At 56.5% G+C, this 27,795-nt stretch overlaps 2 protein-coding genes, 1 long non-coding RNA gene and 1 pseudogene across 11 annotated transcripts in view, besides 9 other annotated features; 2 read left to right on the forward strand and 2 right to left on the reverse strand.

Annotated features, from left to right (window-relative positions):
- The window catches only part of LOC100130987 (uncharacterized), a 73,849-nt gene extending 57,182 nt beyond the window's left edge, over positions 1–16,667 (forward strand). The window contains exons 3-4 of the long non-coding RNA NR_024469.1: positions 12,515–12,651; positions 16,378–16,667. This is a non-coding gene — a long non-coding RNA (uncharacterized LOC100130987). The remainder of the gene's footprint in view (positions 1–12,514; positions 12,652–16,377) is intronic.
- Positions 4,354–5,075: an enhancer, noted in NCBI's record as "H3K27ac-H3K4me1 hESC enhancer chr11:67146845-67147566 (GRCh37/hg19 assembly coordinates)". NCBI's record gives its function as "activates a minimal SCP1, AML or CMV promoter by ChIP-STARR-seq in naive H9 embryonic stem cells {active_cell/tissue: H9 hESC(naive)}" and the evidence as "EXISTENCE:reporter gene assay evidence [ECO:0000049][PMID:30033119]".
- Positions 5,920–5,969: an enhancer, noted in NCBI's record as "active region_5090". NCBI's record gives its function as "activates an Ori minimal core promoter by ATAC-STARR-seq in GM12878 lymphoblastoid cells {active_cell/tissue: GM12878}" and the evidence as "EXISTENCE:reporter gene assay evidence [ECO:0000049][PMID:35858748]".
- Positions 16,133–17,048: an enhancer, noted in NCBI's record as "H3K27ac-H3K4me1 hESC enhancer chr11:67158624-67159539 (GRCh37/hg19 assembly coordinates)". NCBI's record gives its function as "activates a minimal SCP1, AML or CMV promoter by ChIP-STARR-seq in primed H9 embryonic stem cells {active_cell/tissue: H9 hESC(primed)}" and the evidence as "EXISTENCE:reporter gene assay evidence [ECO:0000049][PMID:30033119]".
- Positions 16,133–17,587: a biological region, named in NCBI's record as "hESC enhancers GRCh37_chr11:67158624-67159539 and GRCh37_chr11:67159574-67160078".
- Positions 16,813–17,182: a silencer, noted in NCBI's record as "silent region_3629". NCBI's record gives its function as "represses an Ori minimal core promoter by ATAC-STARR-seq in GM12878 lymphoblastoid cells {active_cell/tissue: GM12878}" and the evidence as "EXISTENCE:reporter gene assay evidence [ECO:0000049][PMID:35858748]".
- Positions 16,966–23,392, forward strand: RAD9A (RAD9 checkpoint clamp component A). Of its 7 annotated transcripts, NM_004584.3 has the most exons (11): positions 16,966–17,058; positions 17,141–17,211; positions 17,634–17,762; positions 18,476–18,590; positions 18,671–18,770; positions 20,696–20,805; positions 20,892–21,001; positions 21,091–21,155; positions 21,243–21,380; positions 22,159–22,366; positions 22,444–23,390. In NM_004584.3, exons 1-11 carry the CDS (start codon positions 17,025–17,027, stop codon positions 22,537–22,539), a joined length of 1,176 nt encoding a protein of 391 aa, NP_004575.1. In that variant the 5' UTR covers positions 16,966–17,024; the 3' UTR covers positions 22,540–23,390. The 7 variants fall into 7 exon arrangements, with proteins under 7 accessions (NP_004575.1, XP_047283339.1, XP_047283338.1 ...); XM_047427383.1 differs by lacking the exon at positions 17,141–17,211 and having other exon boundaries at positions 18,703–18,770; positions 22,444–23,392; XM_047427382.1 differs by lacking the exon at positions 17,141–17,211 and having other exon boundaries at positions 17,634–18,590; positions 22,444–23,392.
- Positions 17,083–17,587: an enhancer, noted in NCBI's record as "H3K4me1 hESC enhancer chr11:67159574-67160078 (GRCh37/hg19 assembly coordinates)". NCBI's record gives its function as "activates a minimal SCP1, AML or CMV promoter by ChIP-STARR-seq in primed H9 embryonic stem cells {active_cell/tissue: H9 hESC(primed)}" and the evidence as "EXISTENCE:reporter gene assay evidence [ECO:0000049][PMID:30033119]".
- On the reverse strand, positions 20,190–20,291 carry RNU6-1238P (RNA, U6 small nuclear 1238, pseudogene; annotated as a pseudogene).
- Positions 22,487–23,068: an enhancer, noted in NCBI's record as "H3K27ac-H3K4me1 hESC enhancer chr11:67164978-67165559 (GRCh37/hg19 assembly coordinates)". NCBI's record gives its function as "activates a minimal SCP1, AML or CMV promoter by ChIP-STARR-seq in primed H9 embryonic stem cells {active_cell/tissue: H9 hESC(primed)}" and the evidence as "EXISTENCE:reporter gene assay evidence [ECO:0000049][PMID:30033119]".
- Positions 23,069–23,649: an enhancer, noted in NCBI's record as "H3K27ac-H3K4me1 hESC enhancer chr11:67165560-67166140 (GRCh37/hg19 assembly coordinates)". NCBI's record gives its function as "activates a minimal SCP1, AML or CMV promoter by ChIP-STARR-seq in primed H9 embryonic stem cells {active_cell/tissue: H9 hESC(primed)}" and the evidence as "EXISTENCE:reporter gene assay evidence [ECO:0000049][PMID:30033119]".
- PPP1CA (protein phosphatase 1 catalytic subunit alpha) lies at positions 23,163–26,838 on the reverse strand. Of its 3 annotated transcripts, none has more exons than NM_002708.4 (7): positions 26,708–26,838; positions 26,048–26,179; positions 25,669–25,899; positions 24,541–24,645; positions 23,920–24,143; positions 23,702–23,836; positions 23,163–23,625 (listed from the first exon to the last, which is right to left on the reverse strand). In NM_002708.4, the coding sequence occupies exons 1-7, from the start codon at positions 26,760–26,762 to the stop codon at positions 23,515–23,517; spliced, it is 993 nt and encodes a 330-aa protein (NP_002699.1). In that variant the 5' UTR covers positions 26,763–26,838; the 3' UTR covers positions 23,163–23,514. The 3 variants fall into 3 exon arrangements, with proteins under 3 accessions (NP_002699.1, NP_001008709.1, NP_996756.1); NM_001008709.2 differs by having other exon boundaries at positions 26,048–26,212; NM_206873.2 differs by lacking the exon at positions 26,048–26,179.
- Positions 26,320–27,099: a silencer, noted in NCBI's record as "silent region_3630". NCBI's record gives its function as "represses an Ori minimal core promoter by ATAC-STARR-seq in GM12878 lymphoblastoid cells {active_cell/tissue: GM12878}" and the evidence as "EXISTENCE:reporter gene assay evidence [ECO:0000049][PMID:35858748]".

Here is a 27,795-nt window from a genome sequence, read left to right on the forward strand (position 1 = left end):
TCAGAGATTTGTCTCCCACTCCTTCCTGGTGCCCCTGGAATGGGAGGGCACTCTGCCAGTCCAGCCCCAGCGCCTCCAACCTGTGGCCTGGGCAGGCATCCTGATCATGGCCAGTGCTGGGTCCCAGGGCAGCTCTTCCCTTCTCTGTACCGCGAGCACTGAGGTGGGGGGGTGGGGGGGGTGGGGAAGAAGTTTGTTTTCAATTACCTCACTGGAGTGGGACAGACTTTGTTGTTGGGTTGGTTTTTTTTTTTCTCTCTCTCTCTGTCCTTTCTTCCTTTTTTTTTTCCTAAACAAGGAGAAAAAGGGCTGGGAAAGGAGAGCTGGCTTGGGGTGGGGGGCAGGGGACTTTGAGGGACCTCAGTAGCAGCTCTGATGAAAACTGCCTGGAGGGACCCTTGTGAAAAGTGCTCAGGGCCTACCTCTGCCCCCCCCACCGCCCCCGCACCTCCTCCCTGCCCCCACCAGCCAGGACTCTGGAGTTTCAGTGACATTCCTGATGGATGAACCCAGTGATTTCTTGATGCCCATGCCAAGGTCAAGAAGGCAGATGCCCATGGGTGCATGGCACGGAGGCCAGCCAGGAGGTCCCCCTAGCTGCTACCCTTTCAGAGGGAGGGGGCCAAGAAGGAGGGGAGAGGGAGAAGGGGAGCCGCTTCAGCCTCTCCCTCCGCCTCGAAGCCGCTCCTTGTGGAGTCTGCACAATGTGGTTTGGATTTGGCTGAGCCCCTCAGCACCTTATAAAGCACCTTGCTGAGTCAGGGAGAAAGCAGCCCCAGTGTCGGGGGAGCGGAGGGGAGGGGGCGCTGAAGAAAGGGGCGGGGGCGAGAGAAGAGGGGTGAGACCAGAGAAGGGGCAAGACTGGGAAGGAAAGAGGAGACACAAAGAGGCAAATGGGTGGGAGTGAGAAAGAGGGGAGGAGGGAGCTGGGAGGAAGAGGGGGAAGCAGCGGATGCGGGGAGAGGAAGACACTGAAGCAGAAGGTGGGAGTGGACAACGCCATCCCCAGCACACATCCACCTGGGGCAGCCAGAAAGCACTGGTTTGCAGGAACTGAGGGCTGCAGCTCTGAAACAGGGACCCAGGCCAGGTGGGTACAGGGACAATTGGCTTTACACACAGCCCCCCAGTCCCCAGTTTGTCTTTGAATCTTAATGTAGTGACCCCGAAAGCTGGGAAAGTTGTGTTCTCCCTCTGCCTCTTGGACTTGCCTCCCTGCCCTCTCCCCTCACCTAGTGGGGGCCAAGCCTCTCCCCTCCCCTCCCCCACCTTCCACACTGCCAAAGGGAAAAGCAGCTCCATCTCCAAGCTGCCAGTGCCCCTCTGCCATGCCTGGGCAAAGGCAGCAGGCTGGGAGTTGCCAGTTGGGTTGGGTCGGGGGCTGGAATAAAGACTGTGCCTTTATCCTGCCAAGTCCCTAAATGGGGGTAGCTGCTGGGGTTTGGGGAAGAAGGAAGAGAGGAAAGACGGAGCAGGAGTAGCCCCTCCAAGATTTCCGTGGGATGGGGCAGGACAGGTGGCTGCCCTCTGATTTCCAGCTGGAAATCAGGACCTTGGGAAAGTTCCTGCTCCCCTGTGGCTCTCAAAAAGAATCTTGTTAGGGGCCCTTCCAGTGCTAACAATCTGGGGTTGCTGGTGGGAGGGCACAGCTTAGAGGAGACGCCAGTCCCCCCAGCTCCAGACAAGCATGGGAAAGAGAAGCGCTCCGTCTGCTCCAGGGGTACATTGTGCAGGCACTTTCTCAGTCTCTGCCAGGTCCTGTTAAGGACAGAGAGAAGGCAAGGAAAACCCATCCCTGCTTTTAGGAATGTCACAGTTGGGGCTTACATCTGTAATCCCAGCGCTTTGGGAAGCCCAGGCAGGAAGATTCCTTGAGGAATTTGAGACCAACCTGGGCAACATAGAGACCCCATCTCTACCAAAAATTTAAAAATTAGCCCAGCATGGTGGCGCATGCCTATAGTCCCAGCTAATCAGGTGGCTGAGGCTGAAGGATTGCTTGAGCCCAGGAGTTTGAGGCCGCAGTGAGCTATGACCACTACACATGGTCTTTGTTTCCTGGGGCAACAGAGCAAGACCCTCTCTCAAAAGAAAAGAATTCCACAGTCTAGGGACACTCATTAAACTGTCTGACATCAGCCATAGGTGGCAGTGGGTACATTTAGGGCCAAGGAGGATGGTGGGAGGAGAACTTCCTGGAGGAGGTAGAGCTTTGGGGTAGAAATGTGGATGGATTGAGCTAGAAGAGCAGTGGCAACCACAGGCAAAGTGCCAAGGTAGCACCAGGTACAGCTCAGTGTTCCCTGCAGCAGGCACAGAGCTACTCTGGGAGTCAGAAAACCTCCATTCCAGTTGGCCAGTGTGACCTTGGGACAAGCCTGTCCCCTCTCTGTATGATGGGGTCTGACCACCTCTGCCCTCCTCTCCATGGGATGGTGGGAGTAGTCCGTGAGCTGACGAGGGGCCACTGGCTTGCTGCCTTCTCTGGCCTTTTAGACTCCAGGCTTCACCATCCACAGGGGGGTGGCAGGTCAGGTCCTCAAGAAGTGTGGCTGGCTGGGGGCCAGAGCTGGCACCAGGTGATGACTGAGCTGCCCTCCAAGGGGGGAGGGTGAGTCAGTGTTGGCTCAGGGACCGGCTAGTGTCCCACCCTTCCTCCCCACATGGTGACATCCCCAAGGAAGGCTCTCCAGGCACCCAAAACACCATGTCGCACACAGCTGCACAATTAGCACTGATGGGACCCTGGCCCAGGGAGTGTCTGGGTTCCTGAACTAGGGGAGCCTCTAGCTGGCCCCCTCCTGACAGGTGTGTTGGAGAAACCCACAGAGGTGAGTAGGGACACTCACTCATTCATTCATTTGTTCACCAAACATTCCCTAAGTTTTGGTGCTGGGGACACAGAGAGGAGCCCTAGGGGGTGGGGTGGAGGGGCGGAGGCTGACCTGCGTGTTGGGAGAAGAGGCAGATGCCTGCTACAGTGACTCCTCCAGCCTGCTGTGATGCTGGTATTTCTCACTGACATTTATTTTGCTGAAATACTAACAATAGTTTACGCGCACGCAGCTGTTCCCCACATCAGGCACAGTGCTAAGGCTTTCGCGGGCTATTTTATTTCATGTTTGTTTTTTTTTTTTTTTTTTGAGACGGAGTCTCGCTCTGTCGCCCAGGCTGGAGTGCAGTGGCACCATCTCAGCTCACTGCAAGCTCCGCCTCCCGGGTTCATGCCATTCTCCTGCCTCAGCCTCCCGAGTAGCTGGAACTACAGGCGCCCGCCACCATGCCCGGGTAATTTTTTTTTTTTTGTATTTTTATTAGAGACGGGGTTTCACTGTGTTGGCCAGGATGGTCTCGATCTCCTGACCTCATGATCTGCCCGCCTCGGCCTCCCAAAGTGCTGGGATTACAGGCGTGAGCCACCACACCCGGCCTAGTTTATTTCATCTTTACAGTAACTCCGAGACAGGAGCTATCATTTCCCTACTTATACATGAGGAACCTGAGGCTTCATAAGACAGAGTCACTTGTCTGAGGTCACACAAGCCTGGCAGTGGTAGAACCAGGACTGGAACCCAGTGCTATCCAACTTCAGCAACATGCTCTTTTAACTCCACCATGCAGGTGCCAGCCTGGGGAAGAGGGCCAGAGGCACATCTTGAAAAGAGGAGTCCGGGTGCTGGGAACAGACTTCAGCAACAGCAGGACTTGGTTGAGTGCCCCTGGCTATGAGGCATCTAGCCTGGCACAGCTGGTCTCTTCAGGTCACTCAGATGTTGCTTGGGGCATAAAGAGAGTCCTCCAGTGCCTGGAGAGTCCTGGCCTGGAGCACAGGGAGACCTGGGTTTCCTGCCCACCACCGACCCCTTACGTGAACTGGCAATGTGCAGATGGGCCAGGTGCCTCACATCGTCTTCCCACACTGGAGGGCTCAGCTAGAGCTCTGGATTCCATTAGCAGGGAGTTGGGAATCCTGGAATGAGCATTAAACTGGGAGTCAGATGACCACCACCCCCGCCAGCAGAACAAGAGCAAGGGCTTCCCTTTGCTTCCTGAGGGCAAAGTGAGCCCTAGGTAGGTTCAGAGGTCCCACCCAGGACATTCCCTGGGATTCGGCATCCCCAGGAGGAGGCCCTCCTTTCCACTGCCTCGTGTGCACACCCTCCAGTGTGCGTGTGCAGGCACCACTGGGGCCCCCGAGGGCAGGAGAGGGAAGGAAAGGCAGGGTGTGTGTGTGTGTGTGTGTGTGTGTGTCTATGTGTGTATGCACACACTTTCCCTTGCCCTCCAGTAGACAGGAGTCTAGAGGGCCCTGCCTCACCCTAAGCTGGCTGTGATGTCAGCGGAAACCCAGAGGCAGAGGGCCTCTTCTGACCTCAGCAATGGCCCTACCCTGCCCTGGGTCCCCACCCACACCTGACCCAGCTCAGGCTTCCCAAAGGACTCCCCCCAACACCCCCTGCTTCCCGGGGAAGCCAGAGAGAAGCTGAGAGGAACGGGGCCTTCTGCCTGTCCCTCTCCTGCCCTAGCTGGGCGCGGCCTCCTCATCTGCCAGGGTGTCTGAGTGACGGGTGTGTGGAGGGCAGGGCAGAAGGGATGCCCCCAGGTGCCCCACTCCTCCCTCGCCCACCAGGAGCTTTCCCCGCCGTTCTCCCAGGATGTTCCATTGCCCTGGCCAGCCCATGCCGCGGGCTCTGTGACTCCGTCTCCCCTGGCAGAGAAGTGGGGTTGCCTCTCCCTGGGCTGGAAGATCTTTATCCTGCCCTGCTGAGTCATGCCGGCTCCTCCCGAGCTCTCCTCCCCTCCTACCCCGCTGTCCTCCCCTCTGTCAGGCTTCTCCCAGCTTTCTCCAGACTGTCTGGGCTCCCGCTCTAGGGGCCCCTGGGGTCAAAGGATGGACACCGCCTTCCCTGGGGCCATCCCAGTGATGGGATGTCCCATCTCACGGGCCTGCCATTCCAGCACCACTGGGAGAGTGCCTGCTCCGCCTCCACCAGCTGTGTGACCCCCACCAAGTCTCTAACCCTCCACACCTCTGTTTTCTCCATGTAAAACTGAATGAGGGACAACTGAGTGAGTATAGGTCAAATTGCTGGCACTTAGAAGCAATCAATGATGTTTTATTTATTTATTTATTTATTTTTGAGACAGAGTCCAGGCTGGAGTGCAGTGGCATAATCATGGCTCACTGCAGCCTCGACTTCCCAGGCTCAAGAGATCCTCCCACCTCAGCCTCCTGAGTAGCTACAGATGGATATCACCATGCCTGTCTAATTTTTTGTATTTCTTTTTTCTTTTTTTTTTTTTTGAGACAGAGTCTTGCTCTGTTGCCCAGGCTGGAGTGCAATGGTGCGATCTCGGCTCACTGCAACCTCCAACTCCCAGGTTCAAGCGATTCTCCTGCCTCACCTTCCTGAATAGCTGGGATTACAGGCGCCTGCTAATTTTTGTATTTTTAATAGAGACAGGGTTTCATCATGCTGGCCAGGCTGGTCTCGAACTTCTGACCTCAGGTGATCTGCCCGCCTTGGCCTCCCAAAGTGCTGCGATTACAGGCATGAGCCACCACTCCCGGCCAATTTTTTTGTATTTCTTTGTAGAAACAGGGTTTTGCCATGTAGCTCAAGCTGGTCTCAAACTCCTGATATCAAACAATCTGCCTGCTTCAGCCTCCCAAAGTGCTGGGATTACAGGCGTGAGCCACCTCGCCCAGCCAATAATGTTAAAGAATCTTGTTACCTACCCCTCATACCGTATCCCTCTGTCTTTGCTAATGGTGTCCTCTCTACCCACAATGCAGCTGCCCCTCGTGAGCTCCCCATGGCTACTCATCTAGACCCTTTGTTCTTCTGCCTTCTTCCTGAAGCCTGTCACTGTCATCCCAGCTCTGCTCCCCACCACAGACTTCACTCTCCAGGGCCCTTGCTGCTCTCCACTTTGTGTTATAAGTGCTCTCTAAGGACCCGTCTCATCTCTCTCCTCTTTTGTCCCCAAGAGATTCTTGTAGGACTTCAGTGGGTTGAAGAGGGCTGGAGGTGGGAAGGGTGGAGTCTCATGGCACAGTCAGCTCTGAAGGCATGAGAGAAACCAACCAGTCTTGACCCAGCCCCGTCCTAGGCTTTCAGGTTGTCTAGAAGACATGGGTGGTTTAGGTCTATGAAGAGCTCAACCACTTTCTTTTTTTTTTTTATTTGAGACAGAGTCTCTCTCTGTCACCCAGGCTGGAGTCCAGTGGCGTGATCTCGGCTCAATGCAACCTCCCCCTCCCGGGTTCAAGCTATTCTCCCGCCTCAGTCTCCCGAGTAGCTGGGAGGCAGGCACCCACCATCATGCCCAGCTAATTTGAGGCTCACCCGCTTTCTAGCACCCACAGCCATCTTTCTGAGGCCCACCTTGTGGTCCTTAACAGAGCACTCTGTACATATTTCCGTTTTAGCCTTTGACTGTTGCAAGATTTCAAAATGAAACAGGAACTTAAGGAGATATACAAAGGGCTATGATGCAGAGAAAGGAGAGGTCAGAAGAGGGAGACGTCGGGAGATTTTGGAGATACGGCAGGGAGAATTTGAGTGGCAAAAAGTGGGGGGCCACACCTGACCTGGAACCAGGACAGGAGCTGGGGAGGAGCTGGCATTCAGACCCATGGAATCCCGTCACCTCCCAAAAGCTTTTGGAAGCCCCTGCTATATATGCCTTGCTGAACAGTGTGGACCTACAGAGAAACACAGCCTGCCTGCCAGGGACTCGGGAGCTGGTGGGACAGTGGGCAAGATAACTTCAATACCAACTAGAGATATGGGCGGCCTGCCAGGAGGCTCAGTGCAGACAAGGGCACCTGGAGCAGGCCTCCTCCAGCCTCCAGCTCAGCAGGGAACTTGAGAAAGATCCCTGGATTCTTTAGCATCAGAAAGCCCAGATCTACCACTTATAAGTGACCTGCCTGGGCAACATAGCAAGATCCCCCCCTACTTCCCCAAAAAATTAGCCAGGCATGGTGGCACACACCTGTAGTCCTACCTACTTGGGAGGCTGAGGTGACAGGATTGCTTGAGCCCAGGAGTTCAAGGCTGTAGTGAGCTATTGAGCCACTGCACTCCAGCCTGGGTGACAGAGTGAGACCCCATCTCCAAAAAAAAAAAAAAAAAAAAAAAAAGTGAGCCTCTTAGCCTCACCAAACCTCCAGGGTTCGGTGAGGCCCAGATGAGATAATAAAGTAAAAGGGCTTTGCAAGCTCCGGAGCTCTAAGGAGACGGGAGAGTCCTCTGATCTCCCCACGGTGTAGGCTATCGCTCCCATTTACTGAGCTCTTCCCAATTCTCTGGCACTGCAGTGAAGCATTTGAATACAGCACGCAATCTCACATAGCCCTCCTGAGGCCGGTGCTGTTGTAGTTGCCATTTTACCATGGGTAAACTGAGGCACAGAGTTATATAACTTTTCCAAGTTACACAGGCAGGCAGCCTGGCTCTGGAGCCACCCGGCTCTTAATTAGTAGCCTCCTCCTCACCCTGCCCCTAGTTCCTAAAAATCTCCTCCCTGCCCCCATCTCCCCAGTAATAAGCCTGTCTCAGCCTGGGAGGATGCCCTCTCTGTCCCCTTCTGTCCCACCCCGCACAACATGAGCACAAAACTGCCCCCACAGAGGCCTGCCCAAGGCGGATCAGCAAGGTCTCTGTTCCCGAAGCTGGGACTGGACACGGTGTCTGTCTCCCTCTGCTGGTCTCTTAGGGGACAGCCCAGCCGGGATGCTTTCCCTGAAGCTGGTGGCACCTTATCTCTCCCCAACAGTGGATGCTGAGTATTGGGGAGGTTGAGGAAAAGGCCAGGGACACAGGTCAGGCTCTAACTTACGGGACTCCACGTTGCCTCTTGGGGTCCATGTTGCCAGAAGCCTGCCTCTAACAGGAGTGCAAAGGGGGGTCTTAGGGAGACCGGGCCACCTCCCTGATGCCTGCCCTGGGGGACGGGCCTCAAACAGCCTCCTTCCCCTTCTAACCCATGAATGGAGCCATCATCCATGGATGTATCTAAATCTTTTGTGAAGCTGTTTCTATTTCCAGCTGAGACGACATCTTGGGATAATGAGTTCCATCAGCGTCCTCCCCTGCTGGGTGAAGCACACTGCCTTTTATTTGTCCTAAACTTACCTCACTTGCGCTCCAAGGGGGCCTGTAATTCCAGTGTGCCAGGTTTTGGTGAACAAGCCTGAACTTCTCCCTTCCCATCCTCACTGTGGGTTTAAAAAAATTCATCCTGGCCGGGCGCGGTGGCTCACGCCTGTAATCCCAGCACTTTGGGAGGCCGAGGTGGGCGGATCACGAGGTCAGGAGATCGAGACCATCCTGGCTAACACGATGAAACCCCCGTCTCTACTAAAAATACAAAAAATTAGCCGGGCATGGTGGCGGGCGCCTGTAGTCCCAGCTACTCGGGAGGCTCAGGCAGGAGAATGGCATGAACCTGGGAGGCGGAGCTGACAGTGAGCCGAGATCGCGCCACTGCACTCCAGCCTGGGCGACAGAGCGAGACTCTGTCTGAAAAAAAAAAATTTCATCCCATCTCCCCTCCACCTCCAGCCCTGCAGACTCAAAAGACCTGGTCCCTCATCTGCGCACAGTGCCTGGCAGTGTGGGCACATCCATTATCTCATGCCAGGCTCCAGCAGCTTGGGAGGAAGGCAAGGGCTCACATTCTCCTCTCAAGGCAGAGGACACAGAGGGCCCAGAATCATGGGGCCAGCACGTGGTGCCGCTGGAGGCAGCAGTAGCAGCAGCCTCTCTCCAGAGCCTCTTCCCCATGGGCTGACTCTTCTGACCTTAACCAAGAGTCTTCTTTTTTTTTTTGAGATGGAATCTTGTCCTGTTGCCCAGGCTGGAGTGCAGTGGAGGGATCTCTGCTCACGGCAGCCTCCATCTTCCAGGTTAAAGTGATTCTCCTGGCTGGGCGCAGTGGCTCACGCCTGTAATCCCAGCACCTTGGGAGGCTGAGGCGGGTGGATCATGAGGTCAGGAGATCGAGACCATCCTGGCTAACACAGTGAAACCCCATCTCTACTAAAAATACAAAAAGTTTGCCGGGCGTGGTGGTGGGCGCCTGTAGTCACAGCTACTTGGGAGGCTGAGGCAGGAGAATGGCGTGAACCCGGGAGGTGGAGCTGACAGTGAGCCGAGATCGCGCCACTGCCCTCCAGCCTGGGTGACAGAGCGAGACTCTGTCTCAAAAAAAAAAAAAAAAGTGATTCTCCTGCCTCAGCCTCCTGAGTAGCTGGAATTACAGGTGTGTGCCACCACGCCCGGCTAATTTTTGTATTTTTTTTTAGTAGAGAAGGGGTTTCACCATGTTGGCCAGGCTGGTCTTCAACTCCTGACCTCAAGCAATCTGCCTACCTTGGCCTCTCAAAGTGTTGGGATTACAGGTGTGAGCCACCGTGCCTGGCCAAGAGTCTTCTGAATATTTGCCAGTTTCTGGACAGCAGGCCTTTTCTCTGTAATGTTTCCTTGCGAGACTTTCCTCCTGGGATCCTTGTGTAGATTCACCCTAGCTTTGTCCAAGCTGATGGTTTGTTTTGTCTCCAGTCCCGGCCCAAGGATACTGTAAGGATGACTCGAGCTGGAGGGGCAGGACGCAGCAATCATAGTCGCAGCAGTGCTAACAGCAGATTCTAAGAGCTGCGTAAATATTAAGTTACTCCTCACAACAGCCCTTTGAGGTGGAAACAGGCTTGGAGAACATAAGCAACTTGTCCATTTTTGCACAACTTGTTAAGTGATGGAGACTGCGGCTAGGCTGGATTCAGACCTACACGGGCTGGCATCCACAACTGCATTCTCAACCTCAACAGACAATCGTGGGTTCAAGTCCCGAAACCTCTCTGAATTCCGTACTCTTCAGTCATTCAGCACAGACTTATTACACCACTGCTGTGTGCCAAACATCATTCTGATTTCTGGGAGAAATGCCAGGGAACAAGAAAGGCAGGGGCAGAGCTTGGCTGGGGGGCTGGCAGCACTTGGAATGCCACAAACTCATTACAAGCAGGGCAGGTACCCTGCCAGCTCAGAGCTGCCTTGCCTGCCTGGTTACCCCACAGTAACCATACAAATGCCAGTCCCTGTGTGTGCATGATGAGAAGAAAACAAGCCAGAGTAAACTCCTGAACCCTAAACTCCTCTACTCCTCTGCCCCTTCTGACTTTTAGTTACCCTGATCTGGAAAAATGCCAGCCATGAGTAATACTGTCTGTGCTCCTTTGTCTGTAAGGAGGGCTGCATGGGGAATCCCATGGTGGGACAGAGCAGTGCCTGGCAAATGAGCCCCACCAATGGCTTCTCAGCAACTGTGCTTTCCTGGCCAGCCCGTGCTCTAACCTCACCCCTCTCAGACTGTTTCATCCTCCAGGAAGCTCTCCCTCATGCTCCTGACCAGGTCTTCCCCAGGACATATTCGCAGAGCCCACGTCATCATCATTCCTGATCCTTCTCAAAGGTGTAATTTCATATTTACCTTGATGATTCTTTGGCTAATCTCAGTCTTCCCCCACTAGACCCCCGCCCTCCCCAGCTCAGGAGACCGGACTCTGCAGAAGGTACCAACCACCCACACTTCTGCTCAGAGACTTGGCACTGGCCATTCCCTCTACCACAGCACTCCTTCCCGGACATCTGCGCTGTCCACTCCCTTGCCTCCTGCAAGTCTTTGCTCAAATGGCGACTTCTCAGTGAGGCCAACCTGGCTGTGCTAGTTAGAATCGAAGCCCTTCTCCCCTGACACTCCTCTCTCCCTCTCTGGGTTTTCTTTTTTTTCATAACACCCACCATGTTCTTGCATACTATAGGGTTTCACTCTGTCGCCCAGGCTGGAGTGCAGTGGTACGATCGCAGCTCACTGCAGCCTCTGCCTCCCAGGTTCAAGGGATCCTCTCATCTCAGCCTCCTGAATAGCTGGGACTACAGGCATGTGCCACCATGCCTAGCTAATTTTTGTATTTTTGGTAGAAACCATGTTGCCTAGGCTGGTCTTGAACTCCTGGACTCAAGCAATCTGCCCACACTGGCCTCCCAAAAGTGCTGGGATTACAGGTGTGAGCCACCGCATCCGGCCAGGATTTTTGTCCTGTGCTGTCTTTCCCATAGTTAAAAAAGTGCATCCAGGATATGTTGAATGAATATATGTTGAATGAATGAGTGAGCATTAGGGTCTCAAGCTTCCATTCCATATCTGCCCCCCAACACATTCACACATACTTACATGCCCACCTGCTTATACGAGGCCACTGCTAATGGGGGTATGCCAAAGACCAAAAATTTGGTGTTTTAAAATTGTTTTTTATTTTCTTCATTATAGAGACAGGGTCTCACTATGTTGCCCAGGCTCATCTCTAACTCCTGGGTTCAAGCAATCCTCCCTCCTCAGCCTCCCAAAATGCTGAGATTACAGGTATGAGCCATCATGCCCAGCTAAAAATTTGGTGTTTGAAAGAATCCTGGCTAAAAAATTAGCTGGGCGTGGTGGCATGCACCTGTAGTCCCAGCTACTCGGGAAGCTGAGGTAGGAGGATCATTGAGCCCAGGAGGCTGAGGCTGCAGTGAGCCAGGATCATGCCACTGCACTCCAGCCCAGGTGACAGAATAAGGCCCTGTCTCCAAAAAAAAAAAAAAAAAAAAAAAAGCTCCTGAAAGAGCATCTCATTGAATCTGAAAGAGCATCTCATTGAATGGCCCTCATTTTATTCAGGAAAAAACTGAGGCTCAGACAAGGGCCTGATGCCATCTGAGTAGGGCTGAAGCTGCATCCAGGTCCTTGACTTTCAGCACAGACCCCAGGTCCTCTTGGGGTTCCCGTACCTATCTCTCACCCACACACAGGGTTCCTGGTAGCTCCCAGCTCCTGGTATCCCCCTGTGTGCCCCCCTTTCTGCACCTGAAGTGGGTTACTGGATATGCCAAATGCAGGCCTGGAAGGGATCCTTGGCTCAGATTGGAAAGCTACCTTCCAGCCCCACAGCCCAGGGGCCAGAGGGTCGGGGGAGGCAGGACAGCTTCTCCCCCAAGCTGGGGTGGATGAGGGGCATAGGGGAGCCTCGGGGCCCCTTCAGGATCACAGCATGTCAAGGTTGGAAGGGACCTCAGTGAGTACCTCCTACTCTCCCCAGCCCCCACCATCACATCATACAGATGAGGAAGCAGCCGAGACAGGGAGGGATTTGCACAAATCACACGGGGGCAGGGACGTATCCTACCACAGCTCCCGACTTCCCGCTCTAGGCTTCTTGCTGTTCTAAGCCCTTCAGAAAGTTCCAACGAGTTCTGACTTTTGGCAAGGGGGTGGGAGGGTGACTGAAAACTACTCAATACGAGTCGAAAGAGTGTATGTCAGCTGGGGGCAGTGGCTCACACCTGCCCCTGGCTGATATAAAAGGCAGACATGGTTCCTGGCCTTGTGAGGTAGACACACTAGTGGAGAAGACAGATATGAAACATATGAAAAAAAGCTTATGTGTCCCTTCTCTTCTGCCTAGGGTCCTCAAGGTCATAGAACCCCATAACCCCATTAGGTGTCAGGGGCAGAAACAGGACTGTGTGAAGATTCACAGCCTCCACCTCCCTTGCCTTCACGGAGCTTCGGCATCTACCCTTATTCCAGGCGGCTGCTCAGGTAATGAGTATGAGGCAGAGGTGGGAAGGCTGTCCTGGTTTACACGTGGTGGGGGAGGGGTCCAGAGCGCAGGATGAGGCTGAGAGCATGGGGACAACTGTCAAGCAGGGACAGATGGGACTGTGGGTGGAGGGCTGGAAGTTGGATGTTTCTCTCAGCACTGTGCTAAGAGTGACTTAGAGACATCTCAGCTGCATTTGGCTCACGCTGATTTATTTATTTGTTTGTTTGCTTATTTTTCCATGCCCTTTGTCAACAGGAATGGTTTACAGATATTTATTCATTCATTCATTTTTTGAGACAGAATCTCACTCTGTTGCCCAGGCTGGAGTGCAGTGGCGCGATCTTGGCTCACTGCAACCTCCACCTCCCAGGTTCTAGCGATTCTCCTGCCTCAGCCTCCTGAGTAGCTGGGATTACAGGCACGTGCCACCATGCCTGGCTAATTTTTGTATTATTAGTAGAGATGGGGTTTCACCATGTCGGCCAGGCTGGTCTTAAACTCCTGGCCTCAGGTGATCCACTTGCCCCGGCCTCCCAAAGTGCTGGGATTACAGGCGTGAGCCATAGCGCTCGGCCTACTTTTTTTTTTTTTTTTTTTTTTTGAGAAAGGGTCTGGCTCTCTTACCCAGGCTGCAGTGCAGTGGCGCTATCTCAGCTCACTGCAATCTCCACCTCCTGGGCTCAAGTGATCCACCAGCCTTGGTCTCCCACAGTGCTGGGATTAAGCATGAGCCGCCGCGCCCGGCTGGTTTACACATTTTTAAATGTAACACCTATTTATTCATTATTTACTGAGTGCCAGACCCTGTGTGAGGTACATACAGCAACAAACAAAACAGACATGGATGCTGGGTGTGGTGGCTCACGCCTGTAATCCTAGCACTTTGGGAGGCTAAGGCAGGAGGATCGCCTGAGCCCAGGAGTTCAACTCCAGCCTGGGCAACAGAAGGAGACCTTGTCTCTAACAAACATTTAAAAAATTAGCTGGCTGTAGTGGCATGCGCCAGTAGCCCTAGTTACTCGGGAGGTTGAGGTGGAAGGATCGCTTGAGCCTGGGAAGTTGAGGCTGCAGTGATCTATGATCGTGCCACTACACTCCAGCCTGGGTGACAAAGCAAGAACCCATCTTAACAAACAAAACAAAACAGAACAAACAAAACAAAGCCAAGGCCGGGTGCAGTGGCTCACGCCTGTAATCCCAGCACTTTGGAAGGCTGAGACGGGCAGATCAGTTGAGGTCAGGAGTTTGAGACCAGCCTGGCCAACATGGCAAAACCCCATCTCTAATAAAAATACAAGAATTAGCCGGGCGTGGTGGCACACACCTGTATTCCCAGGTACTTGGGAGGCTGAGGCACAAGAATTGCTTGAACCCCAGAGGCGGAGGTTACAGTGAGCCGAGATCGCGCCACTGCCCTCCAGCCTGGGCGACAGAGCAAGACTCTGTCTTCAGAAAAAACAAAAAACCAAAAACCAGACATGGTTCCTGCCCTTGTGAGGCAGACACACTAGTGAGGAAGACAGATGTTAAACAGGCAAACACACGCATGAAATAACGTGATAAGTGCTGTGGCTAAAACAGGGTCTAGCTAGAGTGTAATGGGATGCTGGTGGGGGCAGAAAAGACGGCACTGAGCCTGGAGGAAGAGAAGCACCGCCACGTTAGAAGGGGTAAGACGATGCCAAGTGGTGGGGACAGCTAAGGATGTGCTAAAATCCCCAGGTGGAAAAGGAAGTGGAGGGTTCAGGGAGCCCACAGGGTTGGCATGGCTGTGCAGGTGATCAAGGGGAGGCCACAGGTGGAGAAATGGGTGGCGGCGGCTCCTGCAGGTTCAGGGCAGAGTTTGGATTTTATGGCAACCACTGGAGTGTGCAAACACGGGAGAGGCATGACACAATGGACATTTTAGGAGGGTCACTTTGCTGCTGTATGGAGAGTGGCCTGGAGGGGGCAGGGTGGAGGCAGGAGACCACTGAGAGCTGTTACAGTCATCCAGGTGAGAGGATGGTGGCCTAGGCCTTGGAGATGGAAGAGGAGGGCAAAGTTGCCACCTGTTAAGTTGCCACCTGTTTGGGAAGCAGAGTGGTCAGGACTTAACTGAAAGACTGTGTAGGGGTGAGGGCGAGCATGAGGTCAAGGATGACTCCAGCATACTGAGCCGGATGCCCAGGGACAGGGGCACTATTTCCATGGATCCCCCGGGAAGGGGAAGGGAAGAGTAACCTCCTCCCCCAAGGCTCCACGGAAGGGGCAAGGGCTGGTGACGAGGGGAGCAGAAGGGAAGGAGAGGGAGAAACAAAGTGTATGCATGTATCCAAATGTGTACAATTATTATGTATCAATTCAACTCATTTGAAAGTGGGTCTGGAGAGCAAGGGTGGCAGAGATAAATATATCTTCTGCACTACCACAGGACCTGAGGGGCAAGGCACGGGCAGGCCCTGCAGGAATACAGGGATGCCCTGGGCCCTTCCAAGAACTACCAGAGCCTTGGTACTGTGGGGAGAGTAGGGGTCAGTGAGTTTCTCCAGGACTCCCTTACATTTTACACACGTGGACCCGGAAGCCCAGGGGAAGGGGAATACCTTCCAGCTGATGCATCCCCACCTGGCACACAGTCTGGTTTTTTTTTTTGAGATGGAGTCTCACTCTGTTGCCAGGCTAGAGTGCAGTGGCGCGATCTCGGCTCACTGCAACCTCCGCCTCCGGGTTCAAGCAATTCTCCTGCCTCAGCCTCCAGAGTAGCTGGGACTACAGGCGCGTGACAACATGCCCGGCTACTTTTTGTACTTTTAGTAGAGACGGGGTTTCACCATGTTGGCCAGAATGGTCTGGATCTCTTGACCTCGTGATCCGCCCGCCTCGGCCTCCCAAAGTGGTAGGATTACAGGCGTAAGCCACCGTACCCGGCCAGTCTGGGGTCTTTTAAAAATACAGACCCGGGGCTGGGCGCGGTGGCCCATGCCTGTAATCCCAGCACTTTGGGAGACCGAGGCGGGCGGATCACTTGAGGTCAGGAGTTCGAGACCAGCCTGGCCAACATGGTGAAACCCGTCTCTACTAAAAGTACAAAAATTAGCCAGGCGTTGTGGCAGGCGCCTGTAATCCCAGCTACTTGGGAGGCTGAAGCAGGAGAATCGCTTGAACCTGGGAGGCGTGATCGTGCCACTGTACTCCAGCCTGGGCGACAGAGCGAGGCTCTATCTCAAAACAAACAAACAAAAAAACCCCACACACACACACAAAAAACAAAAAACAGGCCGGTGCAGTAGCTCACTCCACTTTGAGAGGCCAAGGCGGAAAGACAGCTTGAACCCCACAGTTGAGACCGGCCTGGGCAACATGGCAAGACTCCGTCTCTACCCAAAAAAAAAAAAAAAAAAAAAGGGCCGGGCGTGGTGGGTGTGCCTGTGGTCCCAGATACTCAGGAGACTGAGATGGGAGGATCCCTTGAGCCCAGGAGTTCCAGGCGGCAGTGAGCCGTGTTCGCGCCACTGCACTCCAGCCTGGGTGACAGAGCAAGAATATGTCTCAAAAAACAAACAAACAAAAAAAGGCACATAACCACGATCTACCCTCGTAAAACGTTTCCAGAGCGTCCCAGCGGTGCCCCTCATCATCTGGCGGCCCCTACGCCTCTCTGAGACTCACAGACCTACTCCCCTCTCCAGGGGGCGGAGCCCACACCGCTGAGCATTTACTCTTGTTCTTCCCTCTGCCAGGGGCACCGTTCTACCCCTTTCTGCCTGGAGAAACTGCCGTTTTTCCTTAAAGGATCCTCGAAGCCGGAAGGAGCAGCCACCTCCCACTCCCGGCTGCTGCAAGCAAGCTGCTTTGACTTCTTTCTAGAGTTGGGGATTGCTGCTGGAGTCCGAGTCTCAGGCCCAGAGTGGGTGCGATGGTCTTGCTTGCACCCTGTATCCCCCGGCAGACGCCCGGGAACTCTACTAAGTGGGTGACCCCAGAGAGCTCGCCCCCACACTCCGACTCCGAGTCCAGCACTCGGTCCACTGCACAGGGACCTCGCGCCCCACAGCTGCGTCCTCTCTGACCTTCGCAATCCGGTGCGCGGCCCGCGGAACGCCCCGATCTCCAGGGGCACGGAAGGCCGAGGCGTGCCGGGGGAGCCAGGAGCAGCTGGCTGGCGGGCGCCGCGGGCCTCCCCGGTCACGTGACACCCCGGACAACGTGCGCCGTCACGTGACGGCAGAGCCTGTGAGCGTTTTTCTCACGTGACGGAGGCGCCTGCACGTGGACCAATGGGGAGGCGGGGGCGGGGCCGGCAGGGGCGGTGCGCGGGAAGGGACCCCGGACCCGGAGGTCGCGGAGAGCTGGGCAGTGTTGGCCGCTGGCGGAGCGCTGGGGCAGCATGAAGTGCCTGGTCACGGGCGGCAACGTGAAGGGTGAGTGCAGGTCGGCCTGGCAGCGGCGGTGCAGCAGCCGCGGAGCCGCCAGCCTAACCCCCTTCCGCTCTTCTCCCCGCAGTGCTCGGCAAGGCCGTCCACTCCCTGTCCCGCATCGGGGACGAGCTCTACCTGGAACCCTTGGAGGACGGGGTGAGGGGCTAGGGTGTGGGGGGCGGGTGGGACTCCAGCCGGGAGCGGGTAACCCGGACTAGAGTCTCGCCCCCACTAGGCGGGATGACCGCTGGCAGATTTGTCGGCAAAGTTTCAGTTTCTTAGTCTGGCGGCTGTCATCTTCCCAGGCCGGTGTGTGAATTGAGGAAAGCTGTCCTGCGAGCTCCCAGGGGGTGACGTGCACTTAGAGAAACTCGGGGAAGGCCTGGGTGTGCGACCCCTCCTCTGCGGCAGCAGCGCCGGGGCCGACTCTGAAGGCTTCCATGGGGAAAGGAGGGTTTTTCAGCAGGTGGTGGCGGAGCGGGAGGACGATAGGGCAAGTGTGTGAGCAGAAGCAGCCAGAGGGCTGGGTCTGTGGCTGCCCCCTGACCACGTCCCTCTCCCTGCTCTTCGTGGCCCAGCTCTCCCTCCGGACGGTGAACTCCTCCCGCTCTGCCTATGCCTGCTTTCTCTTTGCCCCGCTCTTCTTCCAGCAATACCAGGCAGCCACCCCTGGTCAGGACCTGCTGCGCTGTAAGATCCTGATGAAGGTGAGGCCCTTCCCTCAGCAGTGGCACTACTCCACCCCAGGAATCTCCACCAGCTGTGCCTCTGCCCTGGGGTACTCAGTAGATGCTAAGTGGGGAGAGAGACACGTGCAAGCCCAATCCATGCAAAACACAGGGAGGGCCATGGTAAAAGCATCACAGCGGGGACCTGAGAGGGTGGTGACGCTCAAGTTCGTCAAGAAAGGTAAGCACGTCTTTTGGCCGGGCGCGGTGGCTCACGCCTGTAATCCCAGCACTTTGGGAGGCCGAGGCAGGCGGATCACGAGGTCAGGAGTTCGAGACCAGCCTGGCCAACATGGCGAAACCCCGTCTCTACTAAAAATACAAAAATTAGCTGGGCGTGGTGGCACGCGCCTGTAATCCCAGCTACTCGGGAGGCTGAGGCAGGAGAATTGCTTGAATCCGGGAGGTGGAGGTTGCAGTGAGCTGAGATCGCACCACTGCACTCCAGCCTGGGTGACAGAGCGAGACTCCATCTCAAAAAAAAAAAAAAAAAAGGTAAGCAGGTCTTTCAAGGCATTCCAAGCATAAGGAAGAGCATGAATGAGGCCTAGAAGGATGCCAGTGCCCGAGGTGACGTGGGAGCCCTTTTCCCAGAGTTACATGCTGGGCCCATGATGGGTGTGGGCCTGCATGGGACAGGAGAGCTTGTTGCAGAGATGTGATGCTAGGCTGAGGTGTCTTATCCCATGCAGTCTTTCCTGTCTGTCTTCCGCTCACTGGCGATGCTGGAGAAGACGGTGGAAAAATGCTGCATCTCCCTGAATGGCCGGAGCAGCCGCCTGGTGGTCCAGCTGCATTGCAAGTTCGGTGAGTGGGCAGCCGGCCAGCCAAGGGGTGCCTCAGCAGGGAGGTCGGCGAGGCCCACTGAGACCCTATCGCCCATCCAGGGGTGCGGAAGACTCACAACCTGTCCTTCCAGGACTGTGAGTCCCTGCAGGCCGTCTTCGACCCAGCCTCGTGCCCCCACATGCTCCGCGCCCCAGCACGGTGAGCACACCCCTGCCCTCAGCTCAGCCCCGGGTCTCTCTCTTCCTTCTTTGGGGCCCCAAGGGGTTGATTTTAGAAGGTACCTCTTTCATTTTCCCTACAGAGTTTCTGTGAACCTCAAAGACATCCCATGGCCCGCTATGTGCTCAGGTCCTTACCTGGCTCTTTAAAGGCAGACGGTGGCATGGAGGAGGGGCAGGCGCCTCCTTGCTCCATTCTCCTTACTGTTAGGAGCCTGCATTCTCCATCCCAAAGGTCTGACTTGACTTTCTGGCTGCTCAAACCCATTCCAACTCCTCCTCTAGGGAGCACATTTCTGGCCTGCCACCAAATCTCTTGTCTGGCTTGAGTAACCTTGAAGGTCTGCCCATAACCTGTGGCTCAGAGGCTCAGACCCCTTCTCCGGCCTGGGCATCCTTCCAGAGGTGTTCCCCATTCAACGGCAGCCTCTTTTCCTGACTGCCCAGGATCGAGGAGTCCCCAAGGCCAGGGCAGGAGGCTGGAGGGAGGCTGAATAATCAGCTATGGGGTGGAGCTGTTCTGGGCAGTCCGAGCACTGGGGGCTGTCTGGGGCCAGGGAAATGGGGACTCCAGTTGAAGCAAACGTCCCTGGCGAGGACCAGCTCAGAGAGGAGTGGGCTCTCCCCCTGCTCCATGCTGGTCACTGCTTGCATTCAAGTGGCCCAAGGTCCTGCTCATTTCTCAGGGTGACTGAAGATCCCTTTGGGTCCTGACATCTGTTTCCCCAGGTTCTTTTGAGCCAGCACTGCTCAGAGCTCTTTTGGGTAGTGAGAGACGGGGGCCAATTCCTTGGTCTGCATTTAGGGTGGTGTCTTTTTTTTTTTTTTTTGAGACAGAGTTTCGCTCTTGTTGCCCAGGCAATGGCACGATCTCGGCTCACCACAACCTCCGCCTCCCGATAAAAGTGATTCTCCTGCCTCAGCCTCCCGAGTAGCTGGGATTACAGGCATGCGCCACCATGCCCGGCTAATTTTTTGTATTTTTAGTAGAGACAGGGTTTCTCCATGTTGGTCAGGCTGGTCTTGAACTCCCGACCTCAGGTGATCTGCCCGTCTCAGCCTCCCAAAGTACTGGGATTACAGGCGTCAGCCACCACACTCAGTCTCTTTTTTTAAAAATGAGCAATTGTTTCTCTCGTTTTGTTTTGAGATAGAGTCTCGCTCTGTCACCCAGGCTGGAGTGCAGTGGTGCAATCTTGGCTCACTGCAATCTCTGCCTCCCGGGTTCAAGCGATTCTCCTGCCTCAGCCTCCCGAGTAGCTGGGATTACAGGCATGCACCACCACGCCCGGCTAATTTATATATGTTTAGTAGAGACGAGGTTTCACCATGTTGGCCAAGCTGGTCTCGAACTCCTGAACTCAAGTGATCCACTGCTTCGGCCTCCCAAAGTGCTGGGATTACAGGCATGAGCCACTGTTTTTTTTTAAATCCTTGCGCAGGGGCCTTGCTCATCTTTTGCATGCTTCAGTTTTAGTGTATGTGCTGCCGAAGCAAGCACTCTGTCTCATGAATAATTTCAAATATATGTAAAAGCAGACGCAGCTCCCGTCCCCACTTGACTTGAAACAATTTCCAGATGTGATTTCATCTGTATGTCAATGGGTATCCTTAGAGGATAAGGATTTCAGGGCTCTTTCTGAAGGCCGGGTTTGTAGGGTGGCCTGAGTGCCACGTCCTGCCTCTGGGCCCTCTCCCTGGTCTGCATGGTCAGGTGCCGCCTGCCAGGTTTGAGCAACCACTGCAACCAGTCCCCTCCCTGCCACCTTCTCTGGGCCTCATCCACGGTGCGCTAGGCCTGCGCACATCCGTGCGTGTGCATGTGTCACCCCCACCTCAGGTCCTCCGAGAGCAAAGCCCTGGGCAGGGCCAGGCATTTCGGGTAATGCTCCACCCTGTTCACAGGGTTCTGGGGGAGGCTGTTCTGCCCTTCTCTCCTGCACTGGCTGAAGTGACGCTGGGCATTGGCCGTGGCCGCAGGGTCATCCTGCGCAGCTACCACGAGGAGGAGGCAGGTGAGGGGGCTGGACGTGGCCTGGGACAGCAGAGTGGCAGGTGGGAGAGGGGCGGGGCCCAGGTTACTCCTGTTCTTCCCCAACAGACAGCACTGCCAAAGCCATGGTGACTGAGATGTGCCTTGGAGAGGAGGATTTCCAGCAGCTGCAGGCCCAGGAAGGGGTGGCCATCACTTTCTGCCTCAAGGAATTCCGGGTGAGGTTCCTCCCAGGCGCTCGCCGTCCTGTCCTCCCTGCCCAGCTCAGCCCAGCCCGGGGCCTCACCTGCTACCTCTTTCCTCCCAGGGGCTCCTGAGCTTTGCAGAGTCAGCAAACTTGAATCTTAGCATTCATTTTGATGCTCCAGGCAGGTAGTTCCCAGCCTTGGGACAGGGAAGGGCTCTGGGATGGCAGGAGCTGAATGGGATGACCTAGCTTGGGCCCCCTCCCCTGCCCAGGCCCGCCATCTTCACCATCAAGGACTCTTTGCTGGACGGCCACTTTGTCTTGGCCACACTCTCAGACACCGACTCGCACTCCCAGGACCTGGGCTCCCCAGAGCGTCACCAGCCAGTGCCTCAGCTCCAGGCTCACAGGTGAGGGCACCTCCCCCCAACTCCTCCTCTCTCCATGTCTGTGCACTCCAGCCTGAGACTGCAACTCCTAGCTTCTGCACCTCCCCGCAATGTGTTCTCTCCCGCCCCTTCTCTTTCTATCAGGCCCCAGCCCCTAACCCTATAGTGCTCACAGCTGCCAGCCCTGCAGACTCAGCCTTCTCGGTTAGCTGTACTCAGAGACCCCTCCCACCCAGGGAAGCATCCCCAAGGCCCTGCCAGCTTCCTTCTCTGGCTGAGGCCGCCCCTCTGAGCCTCCTCCCAGGCCAAGGAGGGAAAGGGCTGCTGGGAGGCAGGAGCTGCCTGGGCTGGGGGAAGCAGGTGGCTGGAAGGGCAGGTGGGCTGGGGAGGATGGCCCAGTGCACTTTCAGCACAGGAAGTTGGGGCTGGCCCCCAGCCCAGCCTGTCCCTGGGCTCCTGTGCTTTCCAGCTCCTGTCCCCTGGGAAGGTGGGGGCTTGGGCTCCATGTGGCCCAGTTCATAAGACTTGCTGCTCCTCCCTCCTAGCTGAGCTAAGGTAGCCCCCGGGATGCCTCCCTCAGGCCCCTACCTGAATTCTGATCAAAGAGATTCCTGGCCCACCCCCTCCAGGAAGTCACCACTTAACCCCTGCATCCTCTCCTCTCCAGCCAAATCAGGAAGTCATAAAACCAAGAGATCTCCAGTGGTCGGGGGCCCCAGAGCTCCCTTCGAGCCCTCCAAGGTGGGGCCCTGCCTCTGCTCCCCCAGTCCCCTCCCTGATACTCCGATTCTGCCTACAGCACACCCCACCCGGACGACTTTGCCAATGACGACATTGACTCTTACATGATCGCCATGGAAACCACTATAGGCAATGAGGGCTCGCGGGTGCTGCCCTCCATTTCCCTTTCACCTGGCCCCCAGCCCCCCAAGAGCCCCGGTCCCCACTCCGAGGAGGAAGATGAGGCTGAGCCCAGTACAGTGCCTGGGACTCCCCCACCCAAGAAGGTAGGGACTGGAGGTGGAGGCAGGGGTGGGAGGTAGGGAAGGGAGCAGCCTCCAGAACTCACTTGTTCTCTTTCCAGTTCCGCTCACTGTTCTTCGGCTCCATCCTGGCCCCTGTACGCTCCCCCCAGGGCCCCAGCCCTGTGCTGGCGGAAGACAGTGAGGGTGAAGGCTGAACCAAGAACCTGAAGCCTGTACCCAGAGGCCTTGGACTAGACGAAGCCCCAGCCAGTGGCAGAACTGGGTCTCTCAGCCCTGGGGATCAGAAAGGTGGGCTTGCTGGAGCTGAGCTGTTTCACTGCCTCTCGCAGGCCCCAGCTGGCTGTCACTGTAAAGCTGTCCCACAGCGGTCGGGCCTGGGCCGTTATCTCCCCACAACCCCCAGCCAATCAGGACTTTCCAGACTTGGCCCTGAACTACTGACGTTCCTACCTCTTATTTCTCATTGAGCCTCAGGCTATACTCCAGCTGGCCAAGGCTGGAAACCTGTCTCCCTCAGGCTCACCTTCCTAAGGAAAATGTCATAGTAGGTGCTGCTGGCCCCTGGTGATCCAGCTTCTCTGCCAATCATGACCTGTTCCTTCCTGAAGTCCTGGGCATGCATCTGGGACCCCCGTGGAGCTGACAAGTTTTCCTTGCTTTCCTGATACTCTTTGGCGCTGACTTGGAATTCTAAGAGCCTTGGACCCGAGTGTGTGGCTAGGGTTGCCCTGGCTGGGGCCCGGTGCCGAGACTCCCAAGCGGCTCTGTGCAGAAGAGCTGCCAGGCAGTGTCTTAGATGTGAGACGGAGGCCATGGCGAGAATCCAGCTTTGACCTTTATTCAAGAGACCAGATGGGTTGCCCCAGGATCCGGCTGCCAGCCCTGAGGCCAAGCACGGCTGGAGACCCACGACCTGGCCTGCCGTTGCCCTGAGCTGCAGCCTCGGCCCCAGGATCCTGCTCACAGTCACCGCAGGTGCAGGCAGGAAGCAGCCCTGGGGGACTGGACGCTGCTATTGATTCATTAAAAAAAGAAAAGAAAAATACACCAAGGCTCCATGTTCCCCGTGACAGGTGGGCCTGAGGGGTCGGGGTGACCCCCCCCCAGCATGGCAGCATGATTTCTGTACAATCAATCCATCATCTGGGGCACAGGGTGGTGTGCGGGGGCTATTTCTTGGCTTTGGCGGAATTGCGGGGTGGGGTGATGGGTCGGCCTCCAGGGTTCAGGCCACTGAACTGCCCGTACTTCCCCTTGTTCTTGTCGGCGGGCTTGAGGATCTAAAAGAGACAGTGTTGGTCAGGCTCATGGGGCTGAGCCACAGGGCCTAGCGGCTCCTTTCTTCCCCACACTCACCTGGAAAGAGCACATGAGGGTCTCGTCCACACTCATCATGGCGCCAGCATTGTCAAACTCGCCACAGTAGTTGGGAGCTGAGAAAAGTGTCACCAGCTGCCGCTTGGCAAAGAACTCGTAGCCGTCTTCTACCACCTGGGCGAGGATGGGAGCAGTCAGTCCCGAGCGCAGGCACGGCCCTCCCCTTCCCCTGCCGCAGGCCGGAGCCACCAGCCCACCTGGTGTGCTCGGCAGATGAGGTCCAAGTCGTGCTTGTGGAGGAACTTGGCCACCACCTCGGCTCCAAAGGTAAAAGAGACGCCACGGTCGTTCTCGCCCCAGCCCTGCACGTCCTTGTCAGGGTCAGACCACAGCAGGTCACACAGCAGGCCCTGGTCAGGCACATCTGTGGGCCGCATGATCCGCCGAATCTGCTCCATAGACTGCAGGTCCGGGGACAGGCCTGGGGGGCCGGGGGAAGGTCACTTCCTCAAACAAGGACATCCTCCCTCCAGGAAGCCTTGGCCAATGAACCCCACCTTTCCCACCACCCTCCTGGTCCCGCCACTGGTCTCCTGGGCGCCTAGACAGGCAGAAGTCATCCCCTTCCCCTCAGCTTTTTCAAGTTCCCAAACAGGCACAAAGGCATCCCTGCCCTCAGGAGCACAGAGCTCCCGGGAGAAAGGAGACAAGCCCACTCCATGTAGGACACACATCAAGGAAGTGAGTGCAGCCCAGCACAGTGGGGTATGGGGGACACTTCCTGGAAGGAGTGACTTCCCAGATGAGACCTAAGGAGAGCTGCCGGGTGCTGAGGGATGCGGCCAGTGCTCCTCCTCCCCAGCCATCCCCTCCCTCACCTCCGTGGCAGCAGAAGATCTTTTCGTCCACTATGGCCGCGATGGGCAGGCAGTTGAAGCAGTCAGTGAAGGTTTTCCACAGTTTGATGTTGTAGCGTCTCTTGCCTGCCCAGGGGGAGGTGGCTGTGAGGTGCCTGCCTACCCCACCCTCAGCCAGGGTCCCTGGGCTATTCAGCCGTGGCTGGGAGGAGAGAGTCAGGCACCGATGCAAACCACCCCCCACCCCTGCCACCTGTCAGCCTTCCAGGAGCAATTCTAGTTACTTTTTATTTTAATTAAAGAAGACAGGATCTGGCCAGGCGCAGTGGCTAAGACCTGTAATCCCAGCACTTTGGGAGGCCGAGGCGGGCGGATCACCTGAGGTCAGAAGTTCGAGACCAGCCTGACCAACATGGAGAAACCTCGTCTCTACTAAAATACAAAAAAATCAGCCAGGCGTGGTGGCGCATGCCTGTAATCCCAGCTACTTGGGAGGCTGAGGCAGGAGAATCGCTTGAACCCAGGAGACGGAGGTTGTGGTGAGCCGAGATCACACCATTGCACTCTAGCCTGGGCAACAAGAGTGAAACTCCGTCTCAAAAAAGTAAAGAAACAGGGTCTTGCTCTGTCACCCAGGCTGGAGTGCAGTGGCAAGATCATAGCTCACTGTAACTTGGAGCTTCTGGGTCCAAGGGATCTTCCCGCCTCGGCCTCCTGCCAGAAGTAATTCTAAAGCACCCGAGTCCACTGGAAACTAAGTTCCAATCTGGACCAGCCTCAGGGTTGGCACTCCTCGCATGCCCCCACCCATGAGCCGGGCCAAGTCCAGGTCTGGTTTATCTCAGCTTCTGGACAGCAGAGCCCATCTGCAAACATCCTAAGTGCTTAGTAGCAAATGTAGGGGGAGTGTCACCAGGCAGGGCCCTGGGGGAAAGCACTAGAATCCGGGCAGCCCTTCAGTCAGCAACCATTCCCCAGACCCCATGCCAGGAGGGGCAGGGCAGGCACGAGAACGGACCTGGGCCCCGCCTTCGTGGAGCGCACAGTCTATCAAGTGTCTGTCAGATATCAGGCCAATGTGAAGGTCCCACTGAATGGCAAAGAGTGCGGTTCAGGACCCGGGCAGCCCCAGACGCTCAGACCACTCACACTCATCGTAGAAACCATAGATGCGGTTGATGCTGGCACACTCGTGGTTCCCACGGAGCAGGAAGAAGTTCTCGGGGTACTTGATCTTATAGGCCAGCAGCAGGCAGATGGTCTCCAAGGACTGCTTGCCCCTGTCCACATAGTCCCCCAGAAAGAGGTAGTTGCTCTCGGGAGGGAAACCGCCATACTCAAATAGTCGCAGAAGGTCGTAGTACTGGCCGTGTATGTCACCTGTGACCCAGGGAACCGGGTAAGCTAGATGCAAGGTCTAGACCTGAACCCAGGGCCAGGACTGCGCTCAAGGGAGGAGGGCTCCAGGAACTCTGTGGGGTCCAGTGCCACTTTTAGGAAGGCAAGGGGACCTGGGCCGGGGGCTCACCGCAGATCTTGAGGGGTGCCTCCAGCTCCAGAAGAATGGGCTGGCTCAGAAAAATCTCCCGGGATTTCAGGCACAGACCGCGGATCTCGTTCTCTGTCAGCTGTACATTCTTGCCAGGCCGCGAGCCCTGCACTGGGGCGCAATGGGGTGTCAGGACCCTGGACCCTGACAGGAGGAGGGTGGGCGACACGGGTGGCCCCATGGATACCTCCGGGGGCGCCTAGGCCTCCTCGGCCCCTCCTTGCCCACAGGCAGCTGTTGCTGCTGAGCCTCCCGGGACCGCGGCCTCAAGCCTCCCAGGGGAAGCCCCCAGCTACCCTCAGCGCCTCGGGAGGCGACTGTCGTGCGCAGGGGGCTGCCACCAAAAACCTCACAGCGCAGGACCCCTTCCTGGACCGGGCTTCCCGGGTTTCTCCCTCGCCCCAAGAGCCCAGGCAACCCGTGCGCCCCCAGCCCGGGAGAGGGGGGGAGCTGCTCCGCGCGTCGGAGCTGGCCCCGGACCTCTCAGGCGCGTCCGCGGGGGGGCAGCTGCGGCCACGGAACCTCGCTGCCCGTCCCCGCCCAGTCTAAGCTGGCCCCGGGGGCCCGCCCGCGCGCCACTTCCGGGCCGGGCAGGGGGCCAGGGCGCGGCGGACGCGGGCCTCCCCCGCCCCGACCAACCTTCCAGCAGGCGCCCGATGATCGAGTCCAGGTTGAGCTTCTCGCTGTCGGACATGGCGGCGCCGCCGCTCCAGCCCAGCAGCTCCTGGCCCGCTCCTGCCTCCCGCCCTCCGGCAGCCTCCTTCCGGCCTGGCTCTCCTTCCGCCCGCCCCAGTCCGCCCCCGGCCCGCGGCCCCGCCTCCAGGCCTCCCGGGCCCGCCCCGCCCAGTCCCCCGCCCTCTAGCGCCCCCGCTGGACGTGAGGCGCGGCGGCCCGGGGGGCGGGGCCTCGGCGGCGGGCTGGGGGCGGGGTCTGTCGGGGGCGTGACCAAGCTGGTTACGCCCCAGAGGAGGCGCCCAGCCCTGTTCAGAGGATGTGGGGCCGGAAGGACTGTGGAAGTTGTTTTTCTCTTTCAAAAGCCCAACAGACTTTCCCACCCCTTCCCTGGGTGGAAGGTGTTGTGAACATGTTAATAACCGGCTGCTAGGCACTGAGGGTTAACTGCTCCAAGTGCAGGAAAGGAAACTGAGGCTCAAGAGATAAAAACAGCCTGGACCTCGCATTCACGGAGGACCCCCCACTTCTTCGTGGGTCTCTGTGGCGCCCAGGCGGCTGACCACACTCAAAGACAGCTACGGCTGAATTCCCAGCGCACTTTGGTCCTTGGGGCATGCTAAATTAATATTTTCTTATAAGTCCCATAATTCGCTTTTTTTTTTTGAGACAGAGTTTTGCTCTGTCCCCCAGGCTGGAGTGCAGTGGCGCGACTTTGGCTCACTGCAACATTCACTTCCCGGGTTCAAGCGATTCTCCTGCCTCAGCCTCTGGAGTAGCTGGGATTACAGGCGTGCGCCACTGTGCCCAGCTAATTTTTGTATTTTTAGCAGAGGTGGGGTTTCGCCATGTTGGCCAGGTGGCCTTGAACTCCTAACCTCAAGTGATCCACCCCCCTTGACCTCCCAAAGTGCTAGGATTACAGGCGTGAGCCAACAAGCCTGGCCCCATAATTAGCTTTTGAGTAGCACAGTAATATTGCAGGGTGTGCACATAAAAATAATTACTTTATGAGCAGACGTGGCTGGGCACAGTGGCTCACGCCTGTAATCCCA

Source organism: Homo sapiens, chromosome 11 (assembly GCF_000001405.40).
Source record: "Homo sapiens chromosome 11, GRCh38.p14 Primary Assembly".
Lineage (NCBI taxonomy): Eukaryota > Metazoa > Chordata > Mammalia > Primates > Hominidae > Homo > Homo sapiens.

Excerpts from the sequence above, each read along its gene's own strand:
- RAD9A (XM_006718652.4), top strand. The coding sequence starts at position 17,496 with ATGGGGAAAGGAGGGTTTTTCAGCAGGTGGTGGCGGAGCGGGAGGACG. Across the intron at positions 18,591-18,670 it reads CCAGCTGCATTGCAAGTTCG|GGGTGCGGAAGACTCACAAC; the intron begins GTGAGTGGGCAG and ends TCGCCCATCCAG. Across the intron at positions 22,367-22,443 it reads GGACTCCCCCACCCAAGAAG|TTCCGCTCACTGTTCTTCGG; the intron begins GTAGGGACTGGA and ends TTCTCTTTCCAG.
- PPP1CA (NM_001008709.2), bottom strand. The coding sequence starts at position 26,762 with ATGTCCGACAGCGAGAAGCTCAACCTGGACTCGATCATCGGGCGCCTG. Across the intron at positions 24,646-25,668 it reads CTATGGTTTCTACGATGAGT|GCAAGAGACGCTACAACATC; the intron begins GTGAGTGGTCTG and ends CCCCCTGGGCAG. Across the intron at positions 24,144-24,540 it reads GATCTTCTGCTGCCACGGAG|GCCTGTCCCCGGACCTGCAG; the intron begins GTGAGGGAGGGG and ends CCGGCCCCCCAG.